Here is a 25,534-nt window from a genome sequence, read left to right on the forward strand (position 1 = left end):
AGAGACTAAAAGAATGGATAACTCCTAGAATTTTGGCCTGAGCAACCAAATACTGTAGATGATAGAATCATTCACAAAAATGAGAAGGATGGGGCAAGAGCAGGTCCAAGAGTAGGTGGGGGATGAATGAAAGGTTCTGTTTGGGACATGATGCTTGAGGTGCGTATTAGATGTGTAAGTAAAGAGAGATGTCAGGCAGAGCATGGGATCCGTGAGACTGAGTTCTGGGAAAACGTTAGGGCGGGTGACTTGAGAACTGCAGGAATATGTGTGGCATTTAAAGCTGTGGGACTGAATGAGGTCAGCTGGGAAGGGATGCAGAGGGAGAAGATTAGGAGACACAGTAGAGGTTGAGGGGAGCAGGCAAAGCAGCCACAGAGACTGAGTAGGACAGTTGGAGAGGCAGGAGGAAAAACAGAAGGGTGTGGTGCCATCTAAGCCAAGGGAAGAGTTTCAGGAAGGAGGGAGCGTGGCCTGTGTGAAAGGCTGCAGAGAGCTGAGCAATGCAAGGATTTGCCAGTTAGAGGTTGACTGCGATCCAGAGAGCAGCCTCTGCGGAGCCATGAGGACGCTGGCCTCAGGCAAGGCGAATTCAGGCTTTGTGGGAGCTGAAGTCTCTACAATTTTCTTATTTCAAAAAAAGTAATACCTTCAGGGAAAACAGAGCATGAAAACAAAACATAAAAATAAAAATACATATGTTAAGATATTTTTAAAATAAAAATACAAAAATCCTGTGTGAATACAAATATGTATCTAGATTACAAAATCTAAATACACAATTAATACAAAATCCTGTGTGAATACAAATATTTATTTAAATTACAAAATATTTATTTAGATTACAGAAATTACAAAATAAATTATACATTTTTTTAAGTCTGACAAATTTGGCTGGGTGCCGTGGCTCACACCTGTAATCCCAGCACTTTGGGAGGCTGAGGTGGGCAGATCACTGGAGTACAGGAGTTTGAGGCCAGCCTCGCCAACATGGTGAAACCCTGTCTCTACCAAAAAATACAAAAATTAGCCAGGTGTGGTGGCGTGAACCTGTAGTCCCAGCTACTTAGGAGGCTGAGGTGGGAGAATTGCTTGATCCCAGGAAGTGGAGGTTGCAGTGAGCTGAGATCATGCCATTGCACTCCAGCCTGGGTGACAGAGTGAGACCCTGTCTCAAAGATAAATAAATAGATAAGTAATAAAAAGTCTGACAAATTCTACATACAACAAAATACAGAAAAATAGGCTAGCTGAGGTAGCTCATGCCTGTAATCCCAGCACTTTGGGTGGCCGAGGTGGGAGGATCACCTGAGCCCAGGAGTTCAAGACCAGCCTGGACGACATAGCAAGATCCTGTCTCTACAAAAAAAAAAATTAAAAATTGGTGGTACATGGGAACACACACCTGTGATCCCAGCTACTCTGGGGGCTGAGGTGAAAAGATGCTTGAGCCCAGATGTTCAAAGCTGCAGTAAACCATGACATGCCACTGTACTCCAGCCTGGTGTCAGAGCAAGACCCTGTTTTGGAAAAAAAAAAAAAAAAAAAAGAAAGAAAAAAAACCCAGAAAAATACTATTTACATTAATTAACTGCCAGATGCACCATTATAATTTTTTCTATTTTTGTCTGTATTTTTTATCATTCTTTTTTGACAATGACTTTATCATATTTTCTATTAAAAAAACAAGATAATTTTATCTTGCCTCTAGCATGGATGCTAGAAATTTGCATTTTTATTATCGACAGTTTAGAAGAGTTTGTTTCAGCTTCACAATTTGATGAGGTGATGCAAATTTTTAGAATAATAGGAATTTGGGAAACTCTCTACCAAGTTTTTTTTTTTCAACAGAAGAGCTCTAAGAATGCAAGGTATTTCAAATTTTCTTGAGTAGTGACTAGTCTTAAATATTTGAATTGATTGATTCTATTAAAATTGAATTAAGTAGTTGTTGATTCCCTCATTATAGTGATGGCATATATAAAATGTGATTTTATGTACAGTAATATTTACTGTTTGTAGAGCACATTTATGCCCAATTACAGAAATTCTAATATATTCTATTTTTGTTTGATTCCTATAATAAACAATGCTGTTTCTATGATTAATTAATTATCTTAATTTTTTATTTATTAAATTATTTATTTATTTATTTTTTGAGACAGGGTCTCATTCTGTCACCCAGGCACAATCATAGCTTACTACAGCCTCTATCTCCCAGGCAAAAGTGATCCTCCCACCTCAGCCTCCTGAGTAGCTGGGACCACAGGTGTGCACCACCACATCTGGCTATTTGTTTAATTTTTTGTAGAGACAAAGTCTCACTGTGTTGCCCAGGCTGGTCTCAAACTCCTGAGCTCAAGCGATCCTCCCACCTTGGCTTCCCAAAGTTCTGGGATTACAGGTGTGAGCCACTCTGCCCACCAACAATGATAAATTTAAAATCAATATGTTTGTTGCATTATCAAGCTAAGAACTTACATTTAGTCAGTAAGAACTGACTTTTCCCTTAACCGTTTCATGCCTGACTATGTGGAAAAAATTTCCAGAGACTAGCTTCTGGCTTCACATATCTAAAGTTGTTTCCCAAACTTATCATGGCCTCATACTTTTATCTAATGACTCAAGTCAAGTCAGAAGTGTGAGAATTCCTGGAAGCCATTTCTACTCGGATGGGTTGCATTAATTACACCCAAATTTATACCCATGTGAAAATACATTCCACTAATGGCAGACTAAATGTATCCCCCAACTTCTAATTAGCTGGATCCCCCAAATGCCCTCAGTCACTCCAAGGCTGTCTGACACAAGGGAAGTGTGACAGAAGGAAAGAGACTGTAGTCTTAACCAATTATGGTTAAAATATCTCACTTTTACCTATTTTACCAAAGAAAAAAAAAAAGTTCATGTGAGCCCATTGCCAGCCACTCTTCCCTTTCTCCCAGGGCCTTGGAAGAGTTCTGTGCAGGAGAGGGGCCCTGAAGTTCACTGGCCTTAGAGGGATTCCAAGTTTGGTTGTGTACCAAGCGACTCCTAGAGGCACGCTTTATATGATGCATAACTTGCACAGCCATTTGTGGTAGCCCTGTGTAATGGGAAGCAGAGAAATGGGGCATTAGCTGGAGGATGTGAGGTCAAAGGCAAGTTTTATATTAGAATGACATTAAACATATTTGATAACTTGCATGGCATGAGTATTGACAAATCAAAATGGAAGCTCACTCAAAGGAACAGACACTGGTGTCTGAGGCCATATCGATGTGAACTCCTTGACTCCTGGGCATGGTTTGGAGATGTGAAACAGCGGAGAGTGTTCCAAAACATTTGGAAATGAAACAATAGAAAAGGAGAAACTGGTGATGATATAGGGGAAGGAATAATATTAAGTCAAAGTCTTTCGGAAGGCAAGAAGGCATGGGATCCAGAGGGTAGGTGAAGAGGTTGGCCTTAAATGATTGCAAGACACTTCCCGCTTTGTAACAGGAGCAAATGTGAAACAGGGGCCTGCTGTGTCCAGGGGAAGATCCTGTCTGCATGGGCAGCTTACCTGGGGATTATCCGAAGCAGCAAGCCATGGGGCTATGACATATAGACTCCTTGTTTTGTAATCCAAGAGCTTGTACAAGGGAATATATTTGAAATGACTGATTATTTCATTGGTGTGACGGTTAATTTTGTGTGTCAGTTTGCCTAGGCTAAAGTACACAGTTGTTTAACCAAACACTAATGTAGGTATTGTTATGAAGGTATTTTGTAGATGTGACATTAACATCTACAATCAGTTGACTTTAAGTACAGGAGATTACCCTTGATAATGCAGATGGGGCTCATCCAATCATCTGAAGGCCTTAAGAGGAAAAACTGAAGTCTGGAAGCAGAGTTTCTTTTTTTCCAGGAAACTTCAGGATACATATACATATACATATACATATACATATACATATACATATACATATACATATACATATACGTATATATGTGTGTATATATATATACATGTATATATGTATATACATATACGTGTATATGTGTGTATATATATATACATGTATATATGTATATACATATATATATGGGGAGAGAGAGAGGGTGAGAGGGAGGGAGAGGGAGAGAGAGAGTTTCACTCTTGTCACTCAGGCTGGAGTGCAATGGTGCGATCTCTGCTCACAGGAACCTCTGCTTCCCAGGTTCAAGCGAACCTCCTGCCTCAGCCTCCCGAGTAGCTGGGACTACAGGTGTGTGCCGCCATGCCCAGAAAATTTTTGTATTTTTAGTAGAGACAGGGTTTCACCGTGTTGGCCAGGTTGGTCTTGAATGCCTGACCTCAGGTGATCCACCCGCCTCGGCCTCCCAAAGTGTTGGGATTACAGGCGTGAGCCACCATGCCCGGCCTATAATTATATATTTTATACATGACTAGAATTCACTGCAGCCACAGGTGGAATGTCAAGTACTGCTTGTTAGTAGGAGTATAGAAATTGAACTCTTCCCCACTACCACCTGGAGGCTCAACTGGAGAGGCTAAACCAGTTAGGCTCAATCAAAATCTCTGAAATGTGATACAAATCAAAGATAAGAAGAGTCTTCTTTGCAATTCTATTATATCAGGGTTTCCCAAGCTCACACTATTGACATTTGGAGCCAAGTAGTTTTTGGAGTTCTTTTGTTTTTTCTTTGTTTTTGGTTGGGATCTGAATCGTGCATTGCAGGATGTTTAGCAGCCTCCTGTCCTCTACCCACTACATGCCAGGAGACAATCAAAAGCATCTCCAGACATTGCCAAATGTTCTCCTGGGGGCCAAAATTGTCCTGGTTGAGAACCACTGTGTTACACTAAGTGTGTGTGATACTTGGGGTGGATCTTTTCCTGCTGTGAATTTGTGGTCCAGGATTATTTGCATTTATCCCAGGAGATGGTTTGGTTTTTGCTCATTGACTTTTATGTCTGTGAGAAGTTATGCAGGGATGAAGATGTCATGACATCTCCTCACCCTCCTTGCACCCCACTTCTGATGAAGTTCTATCCATGCAGCCAGAGACTTCAGAACACTGAAAAACTCAACTCTTGAGAGGCAATACTCCGCAGGACCCATTATGTCCACAGAAACCTGAAGAGTGAGGAGGGTTGAGTGTGAAAGCTCTTAACTAATGGATTGTTAGAACTGAGTTGTGAAAGTTGAAGTAATCAGTTTTTATTTTAAATGACGAAAGCAGGTACTATTTTAGGCAGAGAGTACATTTAACAAACTTGTTGCTTCAAGAAGTTGGTACAAGTTGAAAATAAAATTAATTGTAAGAAAGTAGAATTAATTGTAAGAATTGTTTATGGATGGGAGTAGGCTCATGACTGCAATCCCAGCACTTAGGGAAGCCAAGACAGGAGGATTGCTTGAGGCCAAGACTTTGAGACCAGCCTGGGCAACAGAGCAAGACCCCATCTCTACTAAAAAAATACAAAAAGTAAGCTGGGTGCCATTGTGCATGCCTGTAGTTCCAGCTACTTGGGAGGCTGAAGTGGGAGGATTGCTTGAGCCCAGGAGTTTGAGGCTGCAGTGAGCTATGATCACACCATTGCACTCCAGCCTGGACGACAGAGCTAGATCTGTCTCTTGCAGAAAAAAAAAAGAAAAAGAATTTTTTAACAAATGTATGACTAATAGTAAGACAAAAAGGGTGATATGAACATTTGAGAGGAGTACCTCTAAACTTTCTGACATACAAGAGGCAACTACATGCAACTCAGACACCACAGTGAGATACCACTTCACACTCACTAGTATGGAAGAACAGGCTAGAATCAAAGAAACTGAAAATAACAAGTGTTGGCAAGGATGTGGAGAAATGAGAACCTTCATAGATTACTGGTACAAATGTATAATATGGTGCAGCCACTGTGGAAAACAGTTTGGCAGTTCTTTAAACTTCTAAACATAAAGTTAAAATTCTAAACATAGAATTACCATATGACCCAGGAATTCCACTCCTGTAACCAAAATCATTGAAAATATATGTCCACACAAAAACTTGTACACAAGTGTTCACAGAAGCATTATTCACAATAGCCAAAAAATAGACACACCCAAATGTTCATTAACTGTGAGGAATACAAAACAAAATGTGGTATATCCATACAATGGAATATTATCCAGGTATAGAAAGGAATACATGCTACAACAGGGATGAACCTTGAAAGCCTTATGCTAAGTGAAATTAACCAGACACAAAAGGCTACATTTTGTAGGATTCCATTTACATGAAAGGTACAAAATAGGCAAATCCATAGAAACAGAAAGTAGATTAGTAGTTGCAGGTGCTGGTGGCAGGTGATAGAATTAAGGCTGATTACTAATAGGTACAGGGTTTCTTTTTGAGGTGATGGAAATGTTCTGGAATTAGATAATGGTAATGGTTGTGCTATTTCATGATTATACTAAAAACTGACTTTTAATAATCCACTAAAGTGAATTGTATACTTTAAAATGTTGAATTTTATGCTATGTGAATTATATCTCAACTTTTTTAAAAAAGAGGCAACATCAGAATCCTAGAATTGGAAGAGTCCCCTGAGAATTGTGTGGCCCAAACTTCAAGTCTGGCAGCTGAGAAATTTTAAGGGTATTGTCCAAGAAATTGTCTTTAAAAATAAATTTGAAGCAGGTTTCTCTCTTGCTTAGAACCCAAAGAGACTTGAGAAGGACAGCTGGCATTAAAAACCTTATGATCCCCAGGACAGGGTGGCACAGACCATGTCAGCAGTAGCCTGGTCAACATAGTGAGACCCCTTCTCTACATAAAATTGAAAAGAAGAATTAGCTGAGCATGGTGGCAAATGCCTATAGTCCCGGCTACTCCAGAGGCTGAGGGGGAAGGATTGCTTGAGCCCAGGACATCAAAGCTACAGTGAGCCCTGATTGCGCTACTGTACTCCAGCCTAAGTGACAGAGAGAGACCCTGTCTCAAAAAAAACAAACAAACACACGAAAACCCAGACCATATCTGTAGATTCATCCTTTAAATAAACAAATATTGGTTGGGCACAATGGCTCATGCCTATAATTCTAGCACTTTGGGAGGCCAAAGTGGGCAGATCACTTGAGGCCAGAAGTTTGAGACCAGCCTGGCAAACATGGTGAAATGCCTTCTCTACTGAAAATACAAAAATTAGCTGGGCATGGTGGCACGTGCTTGTGATCCCAGCTACTCAGGAGGCTGAGGCATGAGAATCTAGAATCACTTGAATTCAGGAGGTGGAGGTTGCAGTGAGCCGAGATTGCGCCACTGCACTCCAGTCTGGATGACGGAGTGAGACTCTGTCTCAAATAAATAAATAAATAAACAAACAAACGAACAAACAAATATTTACTGAGGGCCTACTCTGTGCAAGGCACTTTTCTAGGTGCAGAGGGTACATCAGGAACTAAACAGACAAAAAAAAAAAAAAAAGAAAAAGAAAAAGCCCTGGCTCCATGGAACTTAACCTCTAATATAAGTCCTTCCTAGATAGTACGTTTTAAAAGCTGTGTTGTCAAACTAGTGCACATTTAGAAATCAAAACCAGTTTTCATAAGGAATCGTTGAATAAACTGAGCATTTTCACCTTTAGAAAGAGAAGATTGAGAGGGAACATGATAACTGGCTTCAAAAGCTGTTTGGAACGGAGAGTCGTTTCATTCTCCACTGCTCCCAAGAGCAGAGCTCGTATTAAAGGGTAAACGTCACAGAGAGGTGGATTTGGGCTCCCGTAAAAGGAAGACCGAAAATTCACATTATTGTCTGTCTACTCAGTAGCAGGCATTCTGCTGGGTATTTTCACCTATCTTATCTCATTCAGTCCTCACAATATCCCTACAAGGTGCAACAATTAGCCCTATTTTTAAAGAAGAGAAAATGGAGGCTTAGCAAGGTTATGTAACTACCCTAAGGTCACACACCTCCTCAACGGCGAAGGCAACAGTCAGACCTTGCCTTGGCAGACTCTAGACTTCACAATCCTGACACTGTGCCTGCCGTGCTGTCTTTCCAACATTAATGCTTTCCAAAATGTGCACACTTGTGGAGGGGAAGACTGCTTGGGATGTAAAGGTAGACTGGGAACCCAAAGTTTCTTTCCAGAAATACATTATTTGACACTTCCCAAAGTACTTTCACACTGTAATATTTCATCTGGCTCACCGGCAACTCAATGAATAGGATTAAATAAGTAAAATAACATTATTAATAATCCATAGGTTGTGTGAATCTGATGAGATGATCTATGTGCAGAATCTAGCGCATCATATCAGCAGTAGTTAGCAAATACTTCCTGAGAACCTGCTTTGTGCCAGGTACTGTGAATGTGACCCCAGCCTGGTCTTCATGGAACTTACAGTTTTGTCTGATAAGGAAGGGGCACTTCATAAGATGTGAGGTCCAACCCATTTCTCCCATCCCCAAGCCCACATTTCCTCTATGTGGGGCAAGTTCTGCTCCACACTGAATACTCATCTATTCAATCATCCAGCAAAAGTTTACTGAGTGCCAGGCATGATGGCTCACGCCTGTAATCCCAGCACTTTGGGAGGCTGAGGCAGGCAGATCACCTGAGGTCAAGAGTTCGAGACCAACCTGGCCAACATGGCAAAACCCTGTCTCTACTAAAAATACAAAAATTAGCCCGGCATGGTGGCAGGAGCCTGTAATCCCAGCTACTTGGGAAGCTGAGGCAGGAAAATCACTTGAACCCAGGAGGTGGAGGTTGCAGTAAAACAAGGTTGTGCCACTGCACTCCAGTCTGGGCAACAGAGCAAGACTCCATCTCAAAAAAAAAAAAAAAAAAAGTTTGCTATGTGCCAGGCACTGCTCTAGGAATTGGAAATAAAGCAGTGAACAAAATGGACAAAAATCCCTACTTTGTGGTGCTTGCTTTGGTGATTACAGTAAACAAATATAGATAGAATGTATGTTATGTTTGAAAGTGAAAAGTGCTATGAAGAAGGAGAAAGCCTGGAAAGGAAATAGGAAATCCTGGGGATTTGGGAGGTTGAAATTTTCAGTAGGCGTTAGGAAGGGCCTCACTGTGAAGGCGGCATCTCAGCATTGACATTGAGCAGATGGGGTGGTGAGCCATGCAGACACTGGAGAAAGTGAATTTGAGGCCAAGAAAGTGCAAATGTGGGGAAGGGAGGGCGTGCTTGGTGTTTGAGCAGCAGCAAGAAGGGCAGCAGGGAGATGAGGCCGGAAAATAAAAAAAGGAAAAGGGAATCCTAGTTACCTTCCAGTGTAGGGCATGTGGGCATTGTGAAGATGTAGATTTGCACTGAGTAAGATGAGAAGTCATTGCAGGTCTGCCTGCTGTGTTGAAAATAGGAAGGGGAACAAGTGTGCAGTGGGGACACCAGTTTGGGAGGCTGCTGCAGACAGAAATGGTTTCCTAAAATGTCCGTGCCCTGATCCCTGAAACTTGTGAATATGTTACATTCCATGACCAAAGGCACCTTGCAGATGTAGTTAAAGTTATGGACTTGAAAATAGGGAGATTTTCCTGGCTTGCTGAAATGGGCCCAATTTCAACCTCCCAAATCCCCAAGAACTTTCAAAAGCAGAGAGTTTTCTCTGGCAGAAGAAAGAGTCCAAGAGACATAAAGCATGAGAGAGACTTGATTTTCTCTTGTTGAAGGGGGCCACATGGAAACCACTAGAAGGAGCTGAATGTCGCCAGCAATCTGAAGAAAACTGGAAGTGGGTTCTCCGAAGAGCCTCCAGATAAGAGCTCAAGCCAGTCTGTGAGACTCAGCATAAGTCCTAGCCAAGTCCCCTGGCTTCTGACCTATAGAACTGTGAGATAATTAAGGGATATTGTTGCTAAATGTGTGATAGTTTGTTAGGGCAGCAATAGAAAATAAACACAGAGTTGTTGCAATATTTGAGGTGGGAGATGATAATGGTTTGGATCTTGGACATATTTTGAAGCTAGATTCCAGAGGATTTCCTACTGGGTAGAATGTAAGTTGTTAGGGAAAGAGAGGAGTCCATGATGACGCCAAGGTTTTTGCCCTGAGCAACTGAAAGGATGAAGGTGCCATTTGCTGAGATGAGAAGGATTATGGAAGAAACAAATCTGGGTGGGAATATCGGGAGTTTTTGTTCCATATATATAAAGTTTGAGGCGCCTATAAAACATCCAAGTGGAAATATCTAGGGGGAAGTTGAATAGATAAGTCTAGATATCAGGGGAGAGGTCTAGACTAGATAAATAAATTTAAGAATTATGAGCATGTAGATGATTTTTTTTTTGAAATGGAGTCTCACTCTATTGCCAGGCTGGAGTGCAGTGGCACCATCTCAGCTCACTGCAACCTCTGCCTCCTGGGTTCAAGCGGTTCTCCTGCCTCAGCCTCCCGAGTAGCTGGGACTATAGGCATGCACCACCATGCCCACCTAATTTTTGTATTTTTAGTAGAGACAGAGTTTCACCATGTTGGCCAGGCTGGTCTTGAACTTCTGACCTCAAGTGATCTGCCCACCTCGGCCTCCCAAAGGGCTGGGATTACAGATGTGAGCCACCTCGCCTCATCATGAAGATGATTTTTAAAGCCATGAGACTAGATTATTGTGGTAAGCAGAATTCTGACATAACTCCCAATGATACTGCCCTTCTATAATCTCCTCCCCTCGACTATGGGTGAAATCTGTGAATTATCATATCACTCCTGAGATTATGTTATAGCATATGGCAAAAGGGATTTTGCAGGTACAATTAAGGTTATTGTATTAGTCAGCTTGGGCTATTATAACAAAATTTCACAAACTGGGTGACTTAAACAGTAGAAATTTATTTCCTCACAGTTCTGGAGACTGGCAGTCTGAGATCAGGGTGGCAGCATGGTCAGGTTCTGATGAGAGCTCTCTTCCTGGCTTGCAGATGGCCACCTTCTCATTGTGTCCTCCCACAGCAAAGAGAAAGAGAGAGGGCAAGCTCGTTGGCATCAATTTTAAAAGGGCATCAATTCCATAATGAAAGCTTCATCTTCACGACCTCATCTAACTTCAGTTTCCTCCTAAAGGCCCCATCTCCAATAACCATCATATAGGGGATTAGGGCTTCAATGTATGAAACATTTGGTTCCTAACAGCTACTAATATGTTGATTTCTGAGTTAATTAAAGGAAATAATCCAAATGGATCTAACTTAATTCCCACGGTCCTTACATATGGCTGCAGGGAGGAGAGACAAAGGAAGAGAGAAATTTGAAGCATAAGGGATCACATGCACAAGAAATCTTCCATTGCTGGCTTTAGGGTTGGAGGACAGGGGCCAACCTCAAATGTGAGAATGTGGGCAGCCTCTAGGAGCTGAGAGCAGCTCCCACCTGACAGCTGGCAGGAAATTGGGGCCTCAGTCCTATAATCTCAAGGAACTGAATTCTGCCCACAACCTGAATGAGCTTGGAAGCACATTCTTCTCCTGAGCCTCCAGGTGAGAGCTTGGCCTGGCCGACCCCTTGACTTCAGCTTTTGAGAACCTGAGCAGAGGACCTAGTCACACCATACCTGGACTTCTGACCTGCAGATCTAAGAACTAAAAGTTAATGTCACTTAAGCTACTACATTTGTAGTCATTCATTATGCAGCAATAGAAAACTGATACAATCGCCAAGGGAATGAGTGTAGACAGAGACGAGGAGAGGCCCATGGGCTAAGCCTTGGGCATCCTAATGTTTAAAGCTAATGAAAAGAGGAGAAACCAGAAGAAAAAACAAAAAGATAGGAAGGAGAGAACAGGGTGGTAGGAGGAAAGCCGATAGACTGTGAGGTCCGGGAGACCAACTGAAGAAAGTGTTTCTGGAAGGAGAAAGTAATTGTGTATGCTAAAGATTACTGATAGGTCAAGTTGGATGTTTCTGTTTTATAGATAGGAAAACAAAAACTCCAGGAGGGCAAATTACTTGTCCAAGGTAACATAAATGAACATTCATAGAACCTGATCTTCTGGCTTCTGGTTTTGTTCTCTTTCATTCACACCATATTGTCTTCACCAATACAACATTTTATTTTATTTTTTATTAAATTGAATCTAGTTGAGAACAACATATTTTGGCTTCTGTTTGTACGTTTATTTGCTGATATGGTTTGGCTGTATCCCCACCCAAATCTCATTTTGAATTGTAGCTGTCATAATTCCCACGTGTTGTGGGAGGGACCTGGTGGGGGCTAAATGAATCACGGGGGCGGTTTTCCCCATACTGGTCTTGTGGTAGTGAAGTCTCATGAGAGCTGATGGTTTTATAAGGAGAAACCCCTTTTGCTTGGATCTCATTTGCTCTTTGCCTGCCACCATGTAAGACATGCCTTTCGCCTTCCATCATGATTGTGAGGCCTCCCCAGCCACACGGAACTGTGAGTCCATTAAACCAATTTTTTCTTTATAAAATACGCAGTCTTGGCTATGTCTTGATCAGCAGCGTGAAAATGGACTAATGCATTTGCCAAGACAAATAAACATGAAAGTTTACTACAGCATGAAAACATTGAAATTATCTGACTGTGGGGCTTACTGGACACTCCTTTCTCAGGTCTGAACAATGGTTGTCAATCCTGGGTGTGTACCAGAATCATCAGGGGAATATTTTAGAAATATAGGTGCCTGAGTGCTAGTCTTAGAAAATTTGAATTCAGTAGGCCTTGAGAGAGCCTTGAGTGTCTATGATGGTTAAAAATCTCACATTGATTCTGATGCTTTGCAGAGCTGGGAAAAAAAACAGTTGTAGTGTGTTTTTTGTAATGTGAGTCTAGGGAAAAAGGAAAAAATATCTGACGGGAGAGGCTCCCTACCTAGCTCTTGATTTTGGGGGCAAGAGTGAGTGAATTCTGGGTTTTATGAAAAATAGAGGAGAGCAAGAATTAATTGTTGACATGGAGGAATTCCCCATGCACCCTTTTTATAGATTTGAATCTATCTGTTCACCAAAGTGTTGGAGCAGTGTCTTTATATTGTAAAGTGAATAAATGATTTTCTAGGCTTTAAAAGAAGCAGGTGAGATGTTCACCAATATTCTTTTCTTTTTCTTGGCACACAAGTAAATTATATTTCCCAGCATTCATTGCAATTAGGTTGGTGTATTGTCCATAGGAATATGGGCTGGAGTAAAGCCTACCATTCCCAGGCTTAGCATAAAATGCCCTGCAAGAGCCATGGGCTATCACTGCCTGTCAATCAGATCCAGAAAACCCTAGGTGGTGGCCTAGCAACAAAACAAGTCTAGATCCTGACTCACTGCTTAGAGGGGAACCACATGTCTTGCCTTAGACTGTGGCATGCATGAAAAATAAACTTTTAATGTGTCAAGTCACTGAGATGTGGGGTAATTTGTCATCGTAGCTTACAATAATTATCCCAACTAATACAGGTTCCTCTTGTATTGTGTTTTCAATGATCTCCTTCCTTTACCTCCTTATATGCCCAACAAGATATGGACAAGAAAGACAAGACATGAGCCCAGAGGACTTACGACTTAATCGAGTATTTGAATGCTAAGATTTAGGCTTCTTTGAATAGATCTTGCATTTAGATTCGAGTTGACTGAAAAGTGCCTAGTGAGTGTGTAGTAAGGTCAGAAGAGAAGAGACAGCTTGGAATGATTAAAGTTAGAAGTGTTTCCAATTGTCTGTAAGTCCAGAAGTTACCAGAAAATACACTAACACAGACAGAATAAATTATTACAAATAGTTATTGAGAGTCAGAGTCTGAACTAGGCACTGAGGAAAGGGGAAGGTGCTATACTGATATACAAAGGCAAATAAGACACCTCTGCTTTTCACACAATTGTGCTGATAATGACACATATACAGAATCACTAAATCCAGTTAAGCTAATAGGTGCTTAATAGAACAAAAACAACAACAAAATATAATTTAAAAAATAGAAGGACAAGAAAAACCCTAAATGGCATCAAAAGTTGATGGGGTAGCCAGGCAAAATAGTTTGAAGCTGTAGTCCCAGCTATTCAGGAGGCTGAGGCAGGAGGATCACCTTCTGGCCAGGAATGTGAGTCCAGCCTGGGCAATGTAGCAAGATCCCATCTCTAAAAAAATAAGTTATGGAGAATGTGAGACTTGGGCAGAACTTTGAAAGATGTATATCACTTTGGGAATGGGCGTGGGGGACACAGGTAGGAGAATTACAACCCAAGTTCCAGAAAGGGACTCATTTAGTGTGATGTGTATATAAGGATGAATGCATGTATGTGTGTGGGGAGAGTGGATATAAGATTGGAAAGATGGAAGGAAAAGCTAGGGCTACAGTTTATCAGTCTCTCCTCCTTCTCCTTCTTCTTTAGTACAAGCACAGACAACAAGAAACTCTTTAATGCCCTACAGAAGGACAGTTTCAAGTCCTATGGTGTTGTTATGAACCTTCCAGAACTCCTTAGCAGCAATGGGACTGCTGAATTCAGAGAGAAGATAAATTTTTAGCTTATTGCAGCCTCAAACTCCTGGGCTCAAGCAATCCTCCCACCTTGGCCTCCCAAAGTACTGGGATTACAGGTGTGAGCCACCAAGCCTGGCTGTAATGTTTGTTTGTTTGTTTTTGTTTTTGTTTTTGTTTTGACTGAGGGTGTTTATCAGTGGATGTTTATCTATGAAGGTGGTCAGTAGTGCAGTTCACCAAATAGTTCTGGCTCTCCGCCTTCTCGGTATGTGGTAGGATTATCATTCTGTGCCCCCTTTGAGATTTGATGTGGCCATAAGACACACTTTGGCCAACGAAATGTGAGCAGAAGTGATGAGTATTGCTTTTGGTGAGAAATTTTAAGAGCTAGCATATGACTGTTAGGCTGTATTCCCCTGCTCAGGTGGTCAGAGAAGCATGTATTAAGATGGAATCTCCACCAGCCGGGAGGAGCACAGCCCCTGCTGGAGTAAAAAATAAACTTTTTATATTAAGTCATTGAAATTTGGGGCTTATGTGTTTTTGCAGCTTACCCTTGCTCATAGTGACAAATAAATATTGCTAGTTACAATGATATGTGATTGACAGCATATTGGCTTCAACTGAAACTGTTAAATAATATCAAAGACAATTGCAGCTTGCTTGAAGATAGGAGACTATTAAATGAATTCCTATCTTTCTTTCTCCTCCTCCTCTTTTATTCTGTAGAGACAGGGTCTCCGTATGTTGCCTAGGCTGTTCTCAAACTCCTGGGCTCAAGTGATCCTCCTGCCTTGGCCTCCCAAAATGCTGGGATTATAGGCATGAGCCACCACACCCAGTTGAATTCCTATCTTTCTTGATAAAACTCAATAAAAGGTTGGAGAGGAGTGGAACCAGGAAAGGAGAACAGCAAAGAGCATCCAATGAGGCAGTAGAAAGACTGAGGGTGGAGCTCTCAAAACCAAGTAAAATTTCCTGGGGAGAGCATGATCAACTCTGTCAAATGCTGCTGATGGATCAAGTTAGATGAGAACTGACCATTCGATTTAGCAACAGGGGAGTCGATCAGAGCAAGTTTTGGTGAAGTGGAGTTGGGGAGGGAAGGCAAACTCTAACTGGAGGGATTTCAAGAGAAAAGAGAAAACAGGGAAATAGGGAATATAGACATGTTTTCTTTTTAAGGAATTCATTGTAAAAGGGAACAGAGAAGAGAAAAAATGAGGTCCTGGGAGTTTTTTGTTCTGGTTTGGTTTTTGTTTGTTTGTTTTGGGATAGCGTCTCACTCTGTTATCCCCTTGGAGTGCAGTGGCAGGGATCTTGGCTCACTGCAGCCTCAACCTTCTGGACCCAAACCATCCTCCTGCCTCACTGCCTCAGCCTCCCATGTAGCTAGGACTACCGGCATACACCACCAACACCCAACTAATTTTCTATTTTTTGTAGAGATGAAGTCTTTCTATGCTGCCTAGACTGGTCTTGAACTCCCGGGCTGCAGCAATCCTCCCACCTTGGCCTCCCAAGGTGCTGGGATTACAAGCATGAGCCACCACTCTTGACCAAGAGGTTTTTTAAAAAAGAGGAAATAACAAATATTTTATGCTGCAAAAATGATTCAGTAGGGAAGAAAAAGTTTGGTTTCTTTCTTTCTCTTTTCTTTCTTTTTTTAAAGAGATGGGGTCTTGCTATGTTGTCCAGGCTACATTGCTTTGGCTATTTACAGGTGCAATCGTACTACTCATCAGTGCAGGAGTTTTGACTTGCTCCATTTCCAACCTGTGCCAGTTCACCCCTCCTTAGGCAACCTGGTGGTCCCTATCTACCAGGAGGTCAACATATTGATGCTGAACTTATTGCAGGCATCCAATGGGCATAGTGCACTACAGCCCAGAACTCCTGGGCTCAAGTGATCCTCCTTTCTCAGCCTCCCAAATAATTGGGACTACAGGCTATTTGGTTTGATGTTGCAAGAGAAAGGGGAGAGATTTTTCTGGAGCTATGTCCTTGACTACATCACACAGTATATTCACTACCTCTTGCTGTGTCACAAGTCACTCCAAAACTTAATGGCTTAAAACAACAAAAACAGATTATCTTATGGTTTCAGTGGGTTTTGAATCCAGGGGGCCTTGCTGTTGAGTATCCTCTAGCTCAGGGTCTCTTCCAAAGCTGCAATCAAGGTGCCACCTGGGGCTGTAGTCATCTCAAGGTTTGATCGGGTGACTTTTTCACTTAGCTGCTGACAGGCCTCAAGTCTTTGCTGTCCTTTGGCCAGATACATCAGCTCTTGCCCTGTGGGTCTTTCCATGGAGCAGCTTGCTTCCCTTAGAACAAGAGCTGAAAAAGAGACAGAGAGGGTTTGGGAGAGAGAGGGGTGGGAGCAGAAGTCACCATCTGAGAAGGGAAATCACTTGGTCATATTCAATGTTAGCAGCAAGTCCAGCTTATACTCAAGGGGAGGAGTTTACACAAAGGCGTGAATACCAGGAGGTGGGGATTGAAGTCATCTTAGAGGCTGCCTACCACAGAAGGAATGAGATCTAGTGTGCAGTAGAGAGGCTGACCCTTGCTGGGAGCAGGGATTGTTCCTCAGCAGCACAGAAGAGAAGGCAGCGTCTATGGGTACACAGAGCCTAGTAAGTGAGCAGCTGTGTGGGTGGAAGTGAAGGTATTTGCTCATTGGCACCAGGTACCTTGGAGAATGGCAGGAGATAGCATTAGTAACCAGAGTTCACTGACCTTTGTTGCTCTACTGTACCCTTCGGCATAGCCGGAAGGATTCTAAATCCAGCAAAACACAGCTCTCCACCCTCTCAAATGCTTAACAAGGAAGCATTTAAGGCATTACACCAGGGTTTAGCAACACTTTCACTACCCTGGACTAAGAAAAATGCCAGAAGGCCCACAAGGAACTATAACCAGGAGAAGGAAAATGAGGAAGAGAGATGGGGAGAGAAGAAAAGGTGAGGCATTGTCTGGGGAATCTGCTCACCGCTGGATTTTCCTGCGTGGATTTCACTCATTTTTCGAAAGTCATTGACTTCAAACATTTGTGGCTCAAGAGAAAAAGACTTGTTGATGGTTTGTTTCACTAAGACAGAAAAGTAAGACAAAGTTTTTTTCCCCTCCACTCACAGTGTCCCCCGACCTGTCTGTCTGCAGTCATGATAGGATGGATTTTCAGCCTGGAGGGGCATTCCAGAAATAGCACATTATCAACAAGCCTCTGTTTTGATTTGCAAGGATATCAGGGAACTTCTTACGTGGCTAAAATTGTGGAAGGGTACTTCCTTTCATATATAGTAAAGGGTAGCAAGGTTAAAGGGGTTTGGCTCTGGGGGCAGGTAGATGTCTGGAAGTTCTACTAGTTACTTGATGTGTGAGCTTGGAAAGCCCCTCCTTATCTATATATTGGAAATACTTGTCGGGGAGATTACAGATAAGCCTGGGAAAGAGGCATCTAGGGGGCACCATTCATACAAAATACAAGGAGAATGATGCCTCCTGGCCTGGTGCATCAGAGAGGCTCATCTGGCACAAAATTAGGAACTGAGGAAAAGCAGTTATTAGGGGCTCATTGGCATCCCCAAATGACTTAGGGTTGTCTATCTTGGTATTGTATAGATAAAATTTCTTCCAGATGGGCTTTGTTTAGCTGTGCACCTCCATCTTTCAGTACAGGATGCCAAGTGCCTTGTAGCCCACTCCTGACCTTCTTATGAGACAGCATTTTCCCAGCAGAAAGGTCTTTCTCCTCTTTCGCCAGTAGACCCAAACCTCCTCCGAGGCTTGCCCTGCTGTTCTAGAATTGTCAACCTCTGTTCTTCCTGCAAAGAGAAAAGCTCCCAGCCACGGACTAGCGCGGCCTTTATGTCCAATAAATGTGATCTGGATGCGGGAAGGCAGCCCAGGACCTGGGCTGGGGCGCGTGGGTCAATAGATGTCCCAAGCCCACACCATTTTCCAGGGAACAGTTTTTAAGAAAAGCCTTGGGCCTTGGGATCTGGGTTGGGTCCCGGGCTTGGTCTTGTCCCCAACACTTTAGCAGACAAACCCCGCTCCTTATCTCAAGGGCAGCCTTTGGGTGACCTCGGACAAATGCTAGGGACAGGGGAGGGGCGGCAAGCTCCAAGTAGCGCTCTTGGGACTTCATCCCGCCAACCTAATGACTGGCACGATGCATGTCTTTTGCGAAGCCCTTCCCACCTTCCCAGCGCTGCTCTGTGCCCCGCACAGCCCGGAGCGCGCAGTCCTGGGGATACTAAGAAGCCGACTACTTAGACTCGTGGTGTGGGCGGAGGTGGCAGCCCAAGGTGGGACGTGGGGCCTTGTTGGTTTTGCAGTAGCAGGAGTCTGCAGGCTTGAGGAAGGCCTTAAGGCCCACGGAAGCCTCATCCCGCCAAGCCTTCGCCTCCTCGCTGAGACTCTGAGCTGCGCTGGGGTTGGCGGGCACCCGATTCCGCCCCGGCCCAGACCGGTCACTCAGTGTGTGCATATGAGAGCGGAGAGACAGCGACCTGGAGGCCATGGGTGGGGGCGGGTGGTGAAGCTGCCGAAGCCTACACATACACTTAGCTTTGACACTTCTCGTAGGTTCCAAAGACGAAGACACGGTGGCTTCAGGGAGACAAGTCGCAAGGGCGACTTTTCCAAGCGGGAGATGGTGAAGTCTTTGGACGTGTAGTGGGTAGGTGATGATCCCCGCAGCCGCCTGTAGGCCCGCAGACTTCAGAAAACAAGGGCCTTCTGTGAGCGCTGTGTCCTCCCCGGAATCCGCGGCTTAACACATTCTTTCCAGCTGCGGGGCCAGGATCTCCACCCCGCGCATCCGTGGACACACTTAGGGTCGCCTTTGTTTTGCGCAGTGATTCAAGTTGGGTAACCCTTGCTCAACACTTGGGAAATGGGGAGAATCTCCCCCACCCGCAACCTCCCGCACCCCAGGTTCCCAAAATCTGAATCTGTATCCTAGAGTGGAGGCAGCGTCTAGAAAGCAAAGAAACGGTGTCCAAAGACCCCGGAGAGTTGAGTGAGCGCAGATCCGTGACGCCTGCGGTACGCTAGGGCATCCAGGCTAGGGTGTGTGTGTGCGGGTCGGGGGGCGCACAGAGACCGCGCTGGTTTAGGTGGACCCGCAGTCCCGCCCGCATCTGGAACGAGCTGCTTCGCAGTTCCGGCTCCCGGCGCCCCAGAGAAGTTCGGGGAGCGGTGAGCCTAGCCGCCGCGCGCTCATGTTTATTCACGCGGCCTTGAGCAGCCGAGCTCCAATCCATATTAATCAACCGCTCGACCTACACAAGTCTAAGTTTACGGGAGAAAACCTAGTCCCCGAAAAGGAAGAACAGCAATCCGGACAAGCAGTTGGCGCCTTTGTCCCGCCAGCCCCTTCTCCAACCAGCCCAAAGTTGGGCAGCTGCTGCGAAGGAGGGTAAGGGCGATGATCAGAAGGGGGCTGATTGATGCCCCCAGGCGCTCGCCTCACCACTGGAGCTGGGAACAAGATCCCAAGGTAGTCCAATGGGTCTACCAGGGGCAGATTCCGTTTCCCGGCAAGAAAGAGTCCCACACTTGTGCCGACCCCCCTTCTAAAGTCCTATCAGGATTATGATTTATTTTTTACTAAATAAGCCCCCAAGACTTAGATAAATTTCAGGCTGCACAAAATCTGCTTTCCACTGTGGGTCTGCAGGGGTTAAATTAGCGGGGGGAGAGGCCGCACCTAATTTCAGACACTTTTCTTTCTAATGTGGCTCCAGCCCCAGAGGGAGGGGTCACCGGGACTGGAGGCTGGGGTGTCCTCTAAGACCCTCTCTCCCTTCCAGATCTCTCTGTTCCGTGCGGATCCTGCCAGAGCCCGCGTGATCATCGCCTCCCACACCCCTCCCTCCCTGACCTGGCCAGTCTCTTCTCCCAGGGAGGAACTTTGCGGAGGGGTCAGTGTTGGGAACCCTGGGGTCCTCCGCCGCCTCCTGATCTTCCGCCAGTCCCGCCACTCCTCCGCCCTGGGCGTGCCTTCCGCAGGTGAACCTGAAGGTGCGTCTGCAATGCTGCTGTTGCATTCTCGTTCTTGTAGATTCTTCTTCTATTCTCTCTCTTTGCCTTCCGTTTCACCCAGCACCCACTTTTCCTACGCTGCTCTGAAGAAGTTCTCTATCTTCTGTCTCAGGCTCTCCGTGCGTCCTTTCACTCGTCTTCACCCGGCCAGTCTATGCAGGCAGAGTAAGGCCATATGGGCGACCATTCGGATAATCCAATTTAAAAGAAACCCCCTTACAAAAATCCAGCTAAGCGAGAGGGGGCGAGGGAGAGCGCTCGCGCAAATGTTTGTTGTGCAGAATTCCCCTGTGTTTGTGCGCAGTCCCAACCCCACACAGTCTCCCCTGGATCCTGATGCGCGCCCGCATAGTGATGACTTCCAAATCTGGGGTTTACCACGTGGTGACAAATAAACAGGGGTACACTCCAAACCCGCTGGATGTCTATGTGTGCGCGCGCGCGTGAAGGAGCTTTTGTACATGCAATACCCTCAGGGCAAACGGAGAAAGCGCTAAAGGCTCCCCTGAACTCTGGGACAGTACCTGAGGGGGACTCTGGGGAGAACAGGCTGGCTCCCCAGGAGACACTACATAGTGATGACAAATCCACCTACAGGTGGTGACAACTCTAGGAAGTCCCCCTCACCTCCTGAGTTCGGGAGAGCCCCTTTAAAGGTAGTCTCTCTTCTGCAGACACTCCTCTCCACTCCCGACCTTATGAAAAGTGGCCCCAGTGGAGACAATCAATCTGAAAAGCTTCACTCGGTCTCTTTTACCCTAGGTTGTGCCTCTCCTTTCGGGATTTCAAGCTTTCTGCAAATGGCTAATTTCCTTAGGGTGATCCCAAAATAAAATGGTAGGGGTGGGCTAGAGAAGAGTGTGCTCAAGTGTAATCGACAACCAGTAATATCCCTTGAAGAGAGTCTGAAGACGTCCTGGTAATTTCCCTTAAGAAATCTGGTTTTACTGGTGGATCTCCATAGAATTCTTTGCCTAGAGGCTGGAAATGAGTAATAGGCCGTGTGTCTCCAAGGCCTCGGCTAATATGATACATACTTTCAAGAAGAGCAACGGGGTGTTTACAATTAGTACCTAAATTTCTTCTGTTTGAAAAAAAAAATACCTAAATAACCCCTCCCCCAATCAAGCACGAAGCTTGGAATTAAAAAGCCAACGCCAATTTTATTTCCTCCAGTCAAGCGTGAGTGATGGGGCGGCCGCGCAAGGGCAACGGAGTCCAGCGGACAAAGCTTGCAGAGAGGGGCAGTGGCCCGGAGGCAAGGGTGGCGGTGGGGGGGGTGGGGGGATGGGTCACAAAAGTAGAGCAACTGAGCTTGCTGCCTAGCGGTGCCACTTCCCTGCTCTGCGCTAAGGCTATCGTCGAAGGCCCAGAGACACCTTGACCCTGGAAACCCAATCCAGCACGTCCTGCCTCCCCACAAATATCCCTCACCCCAAATCGCTGTGCGTTTTGTCTCCTCAAAGCGACTCCCAATGGATTTGGATTTATTCAGATAGAACTCTTCGGAAGTTTTTCAGATTTTTCAATTTCAAGAATTTGCATGTTTTAAGTGAAGCTGAAACCGCGAAGGCTCAGGTTACACTTTAAAATATGCAAGGCTTCCGTGCGGCCCCGACATTTGGTAAGGCTCAATTGCTTAAGAAAAAAGAAAAAAAAAAGAACATTGCTTTGAGAATTTGGGGTGCCCCCCCCCCACTTTTGTCACAATTCAGAGCTTCATTCCCTCCGGCCGTCCAGGACGTCGAGAGAGCGGCTGGCCAGAGCTCAGCCCCGGCGCATTCGCAGGGACGTGTCAGCTGGGCAGGCTATAATTTGCATTATTCCATTAAGTTAGGAGCAGCGCTGATAACGACTGGAAAGTTCGACGGCTGGGTGGGCCCGCGACCCGCAGGCCTGGCGAGCAACCATCGAAAATAAAACAATTGCTGTCCTTGGCGGCAAAGGCCTCTATGGACGCCTCCAGGGCAGCGCAGGGAACCAAAGGGCACCCCAGATCTCTGCGGGTTCGCGCCTTGCCTCGTGGGGGACAGGAGGTTCTCTGTCCCATGAGGTTCAGTCAAGGACAAGGAGCCGGGAGGGGAAAGGGGCAGGAGCCAAGGAGAGAAACCTGAAAGAGGCAAACTTTAAATATATCGTAATTCTTTAAGGGGGTGGGCTCTGTGTTTCTTTGCAACTTCACAGTCTCACCATCCTCGGCTTTGGAGTGGATTTGGCAGTGAGGACAAGGACGGAACGCCGGTAGGGGAGTAGTTGCTTGTCTCTTGTTTATTCTTCTCCTCTTTTCCAGCGGCCCAGATAGGCTGAAGGCAAAACTCTCAGCAAGGGGGAAGCGACCATCCTGCGTGGACCTTTCTCCCAGGGGTGGGATGATGAAAAAAGAAATCCTCCTGGGGAAGCCCCTAGGTATCCCCCAGCCCCTACCTTTATTAGGAGGCCCGGGTTTCCCCCATTAAACTTATATTCATTCATTCATTCATTCATTCATTCGTTCATTCATTCATACCACGACTATTCAGTGAGCACCTACCATGTGCCAGACACAGTATTAGACTCTCAAAAACGCGGCATAAATGGAAACTAGGCCCTGAAGCCAGAGCCTCAGGACTGGCTCCCGGGAATGTTTGAAGATCATCGCGTATCTTGGAATTGCCAGGCTTCCTGCTCCACAGATTCCAGCGCTGGGCAAATGGACACAAGGAAACATAACTTCTGCATAACTTTTACTACTTCTTTCCTTTTTTCTTTTTTCAAGTAGCAAAGGACCATTAATTAGAAGAATAATTACTGCTACCCTATATTATCCCAACCTGTTCAATTTCTATCTGCCGCAGACAATGCTAATAATGGCAATTATTGCTTCTATAAACATCCCGAGGCAGCACTCTTCCCCCCGCAGTGTGTGTGTGTGTGTTTAAAGAATATATATAAAAAGTTCCCCGGCTCATTTGCATAGCTTCATCTTTACCTTTTCCCATTCAGCCCTTGCAAAAGCATATCTATTCAAAGCCCTTGCAAAAAGCATATCTATTCAAAGGGCATTTAGTCCATTTCTTTCTTGGCCGGTAAACCTATTCATCAATTGTTCTGCCTTGTAGATCGCATTCTAATGCTAATCTAGCGTGTTAAATATCTTTTTGTTCCCCTTTCACCGTTTTGTCATTCAGTTTATCCAGTTTTGGTCACCCATTTTATTTATTTATGCGCCTGCTCCTATTCAGGGGCTCATGTATTTTTTATTATGTTGTTTCACTGTCACGCAGTGTCAACTTAGTCTATTCAATGGGGGCTACTTGAAGGCCGGAGGGACAAAGCGTGTACACATTGCACCGCTATTCATTCCGGCCAGCTGGATCGGCTGAAAAAAAAACCTTGTGAAAAGAAACGCCTCACAATGGACACAGAAGAAGTGCACAATGCTAACAGTTTTCCAAATACCACTGATTGGTTTCTTCACAATGAGGAGAAAGCCGCCGCTTTTTCTTAGCTCCACTTCAACAAACAACACTCTCACAAAACCTCCCAACCCTGCGTTTTGTTCTCGGACAAAACCTCCTCGACTGTCTAAACGCTCCCACTGAAGGACAAAAAAAAAAAAAAGGATAAAAAAAGCTCTTTTCACCATTTCCCTTTTTTTCCCCCCTGCAAGAGAGAAAAAAGAAAAGGGGGGGAGGAATTGTCAGTGCATTAATAATATCAGTCTTTTAAAAGAAGAGGGCTGACCTTTGAGATGCACTGGGCTGAGGGAGAAAGAAAGGAGGAGAGATTAATAAAGTTTGGACGGCTCCCTCGGCCTCCGCTGGGCCGCGGGCGCAAGAAAGACGCGGACCCTCGAGGCGGACGAGTTGCGGGAACTTCGCTTGCCTGGAGGACACGGCGGCCCAGGCGGCCGGGAGCGCCGGCGCCGAGCCGCGCTCTGATTGGCTGGCGCGACCGTCCCTATCTGCTCCGGGGAGAGTGGAATCTTCTCTCCATCTTCTGCGCCCCGAGCCTGGGGTGAGAGGGAGATCCGCGGTGCTTTCTCCTATCTTCTTGGGGGAGGGGGAGGAGGAAATTGTCAAGGGAAGTAACAATCGCGGCCAGCAACCCTGCTCTCCCAAAGCCACCCCCTCGCGCGACAGCGTCCCCAGCACCAGTTCTTACTGCTTACACAGCGCAATTCCACCTGTTTGCACAAAGCCCGAAGCAACATGCCTGGCCCCTTGGATACGAGGCTTGCTTCAAGTTTTGGGACAACGGTGAATACCAAAGAAATTGCATCATGGCTTTAAAAAAAACCTTGAAAAGAAACGAAAATAGAAGAATAAAAGGAAGGGAAAGAAGAAAGATGGAAGGAAGGAAGGAGAGAGAAGGAAAGAAAGAAAAATGGAGAAACAGGGAGAGAGACGGAGATAGATAAAGAGATGGAGATAGAGATCGCGAGCCAGCAGCAGCTCTCTGCCCAATCACAGCGCTGCATTTGTGGGCCACTTTCAGACGCTTACACCACCCACCCCCGGGCCTTTCTCTACGCCCTCTTGCCCCGGAGCCGCTCCCCCCGCTCCAACCCCTTACTTCTGCACAGTCTAACTTGGCAGGAGGCTCTCTGCAGGCGCAAAACCCGCCAACTTGTTAGCAAGACCATTGGAGTCAGAATGGGTGATAAACGAGTCTGTGGGGCCTGTGGAGGTCCTCAAACAGCCGCACAATCTGTTGGCGATATGACCTCGGTGCTCCCCCTCGGCATCCTCACCCCTCCTCTTACCCATCTTTCCAGTCCTCTTCTCATTCATCAACAACTCCGGAGCGTTTCTCCCAGAAAACGCTGATCTTTGGGAAAAGGGGAGGGGGCGGGAGGAGGCGGGGAGTCTTCAGGCCGAGGAGGCGGCCGAGCTGGAAGGCTCAGGGTGGTAACTAAGATTTAGGGCTGGGGTGATTTCCAGCGAGCCGCAGGAAGTTCCGTGTTGAGAAGGGATGGGCTGCTACAAAAGGGAAAGACGAAGCCTTGAAAGGATTTAATTAACCGTGTCAGGGATAATTACCCCTGGACAGTCCAAATTAGTTTTGCATAATCGCTCAGAACCATATGAATTA

The 25,534-nt window shown here is 45.1% G+C and overlaps 1 long non-coding RNA gene and 1 pseudogene across 4 annotated transcripts, besides 6 other annotated features; both read right to left on the bottom strand.

The window, feature by feature from the left end:
• Positions 1–15,579: 15,579 nt before the first annotated feature.
• LINC00391 (long intergenic non-protein coding RNA 391) lies at positions 15,580–25,356 on the bottom strand. 4 transcript variants are annotated; one of them, NR_170288.1, is made up of 5 exons: positions 25,206–25,356; positions 24,326–24,489; positions 22,992–23,142; positions 22,652–22,816; positions 21,605–22,571 (listed from the first exon to the last, which is right to left on the bottom strand). It is a non-coding gene; the product is annotated as a long intergenic non-protein coding RNA 391 (long non-coding RNA). The 4 variants fall into 4 exon arrangements; NR_170287.1 differs by having other exon boundaries at positions 21,605–22,812; positions 24,185–24,489; NR_170286.1 differs by lacking the exons at positions 21,605–22,571; positions 22,652–22,816; positions 22,992–23,142; positions 24,326–24,489 and adding exons at positions 15,580–16,744; positions 17,400–17,498.
• Positions 16,078–16,357, bottom strand: RN7SL585P (RNA, 7SL, cytoplasmic 585, pseudogene; annotated as a pseudogene).
• Positions 18,296–18,973: an enhancer, noted in NCBI's record as "H3K4me1 hESC enhancer chr13:95353695-95354372 (GRCh37/hg19 assembly coordinates)". NCBI's record gives its function as "activates a minimal SCP1, AML or CMV promoter by ChIP-STARR-seq in naive and primed H9 embryonic stem cells {active_cell/tissue: H9 hESC(naive and primed)}" and the evidence as "EXISTENCE:reporter gene assay evidence [ECO:0000049][PMID:30033119]".
• Positions 18,974–19,649: an enhancer, noted in NCBI's record as "H3K4me1 hESC enhancer chr13:95354373-95355048 (GRCh37/hg19 assembly coordinates)". NCBI's record gives its function as "activates a minimal SCP1, AML or CMV promoter by ChIP-STARR-seq in primed H9 embryonic stem cells {active_cell/tissue: H9 hESC(primed)}" and the evidence as "EXISTENCE:reporter gene assay evidence [ECO:0000049][PMID:30033119]".
• Positions 21,835–22,339: an enhancer, noted in NCBI's record as "H3K4me1 hESC enhancer chr13:95357234-95357738 (GRCh37/hg19 assembly coordinates)". NCBI's record gives its function as "activates a minimal SCP1, AML or CMV promoter by ChIP-STARR-seq in naive H9 embryonic stem cells {active_cell/tissue: H9 hESC(naive)}" and the evidence as "EXISTENCE:reporter gene assay evidence [ECO:0000049][PMID:30033119]".
• Positions 22,340–22,844: an enhancer, noted in NCBI's record as "H3K4me1 hESC enhancer chr13:95357739-95358243 (GRCh37/hg19 assembly coordinates)". NCBI's record gives its function as "activates a minimal SCP1, AML or CMV promoter by ChIP-STARR-seq in naive H9 embryonic stem cells {active_cell/tissue: H9 hESC(naive)}" and the evidence as "EXISTENCE:reporter gene assay evidence [ECO:0000049][PMID:30033119]".
• Positions 22,864–24,618: an enhancer, noted in NCBI's record as "VISTA enhancer hs488". NCBI's record gives its function as "enhancer in: neural tube[12/12] | hindbrain (rhombencephalon)[12/12] | midbrain (mesencephalon)[12/12] | forebrain[12/12]" and the evidence as "EXISTENCE:transgenic organism evidence [ECO:0001131][PMID:17130149]".
• Positions 23,283–23,964: an enhancer, noted in NCBI's record as "NANOG hESC enhancer chr13:95358682-95359363 (GRCh37/hg19 assembly coordinates)". NCBI's record gives its function as "activates a minimal SCP1, AML or CMV promoter by ChIP-STARR-seq in naive and primed H9 embryonic stem cells {active_cell/tissue: H9 hESC(naive and primed)}" and the evidence as "EXISTENCE:reporter gene assay evidence [ECO:0000049][PMID:30033119]".
• Positions 25,357–25,534: the final 178 nt, after the last annotated feature.

This window comes from Homo sapiens, chromosome 13, assembly GCF_000001405.40.
Source record: "Homo sapiens chromosome 13, GRCh38.p14 Primary Assembly".
Classification (NCBI taxonomy): Eukaryota; Metazoa; Chordata; class Mammalia; order Primates; family Hominidae; genus Homo; species Homo sapiens.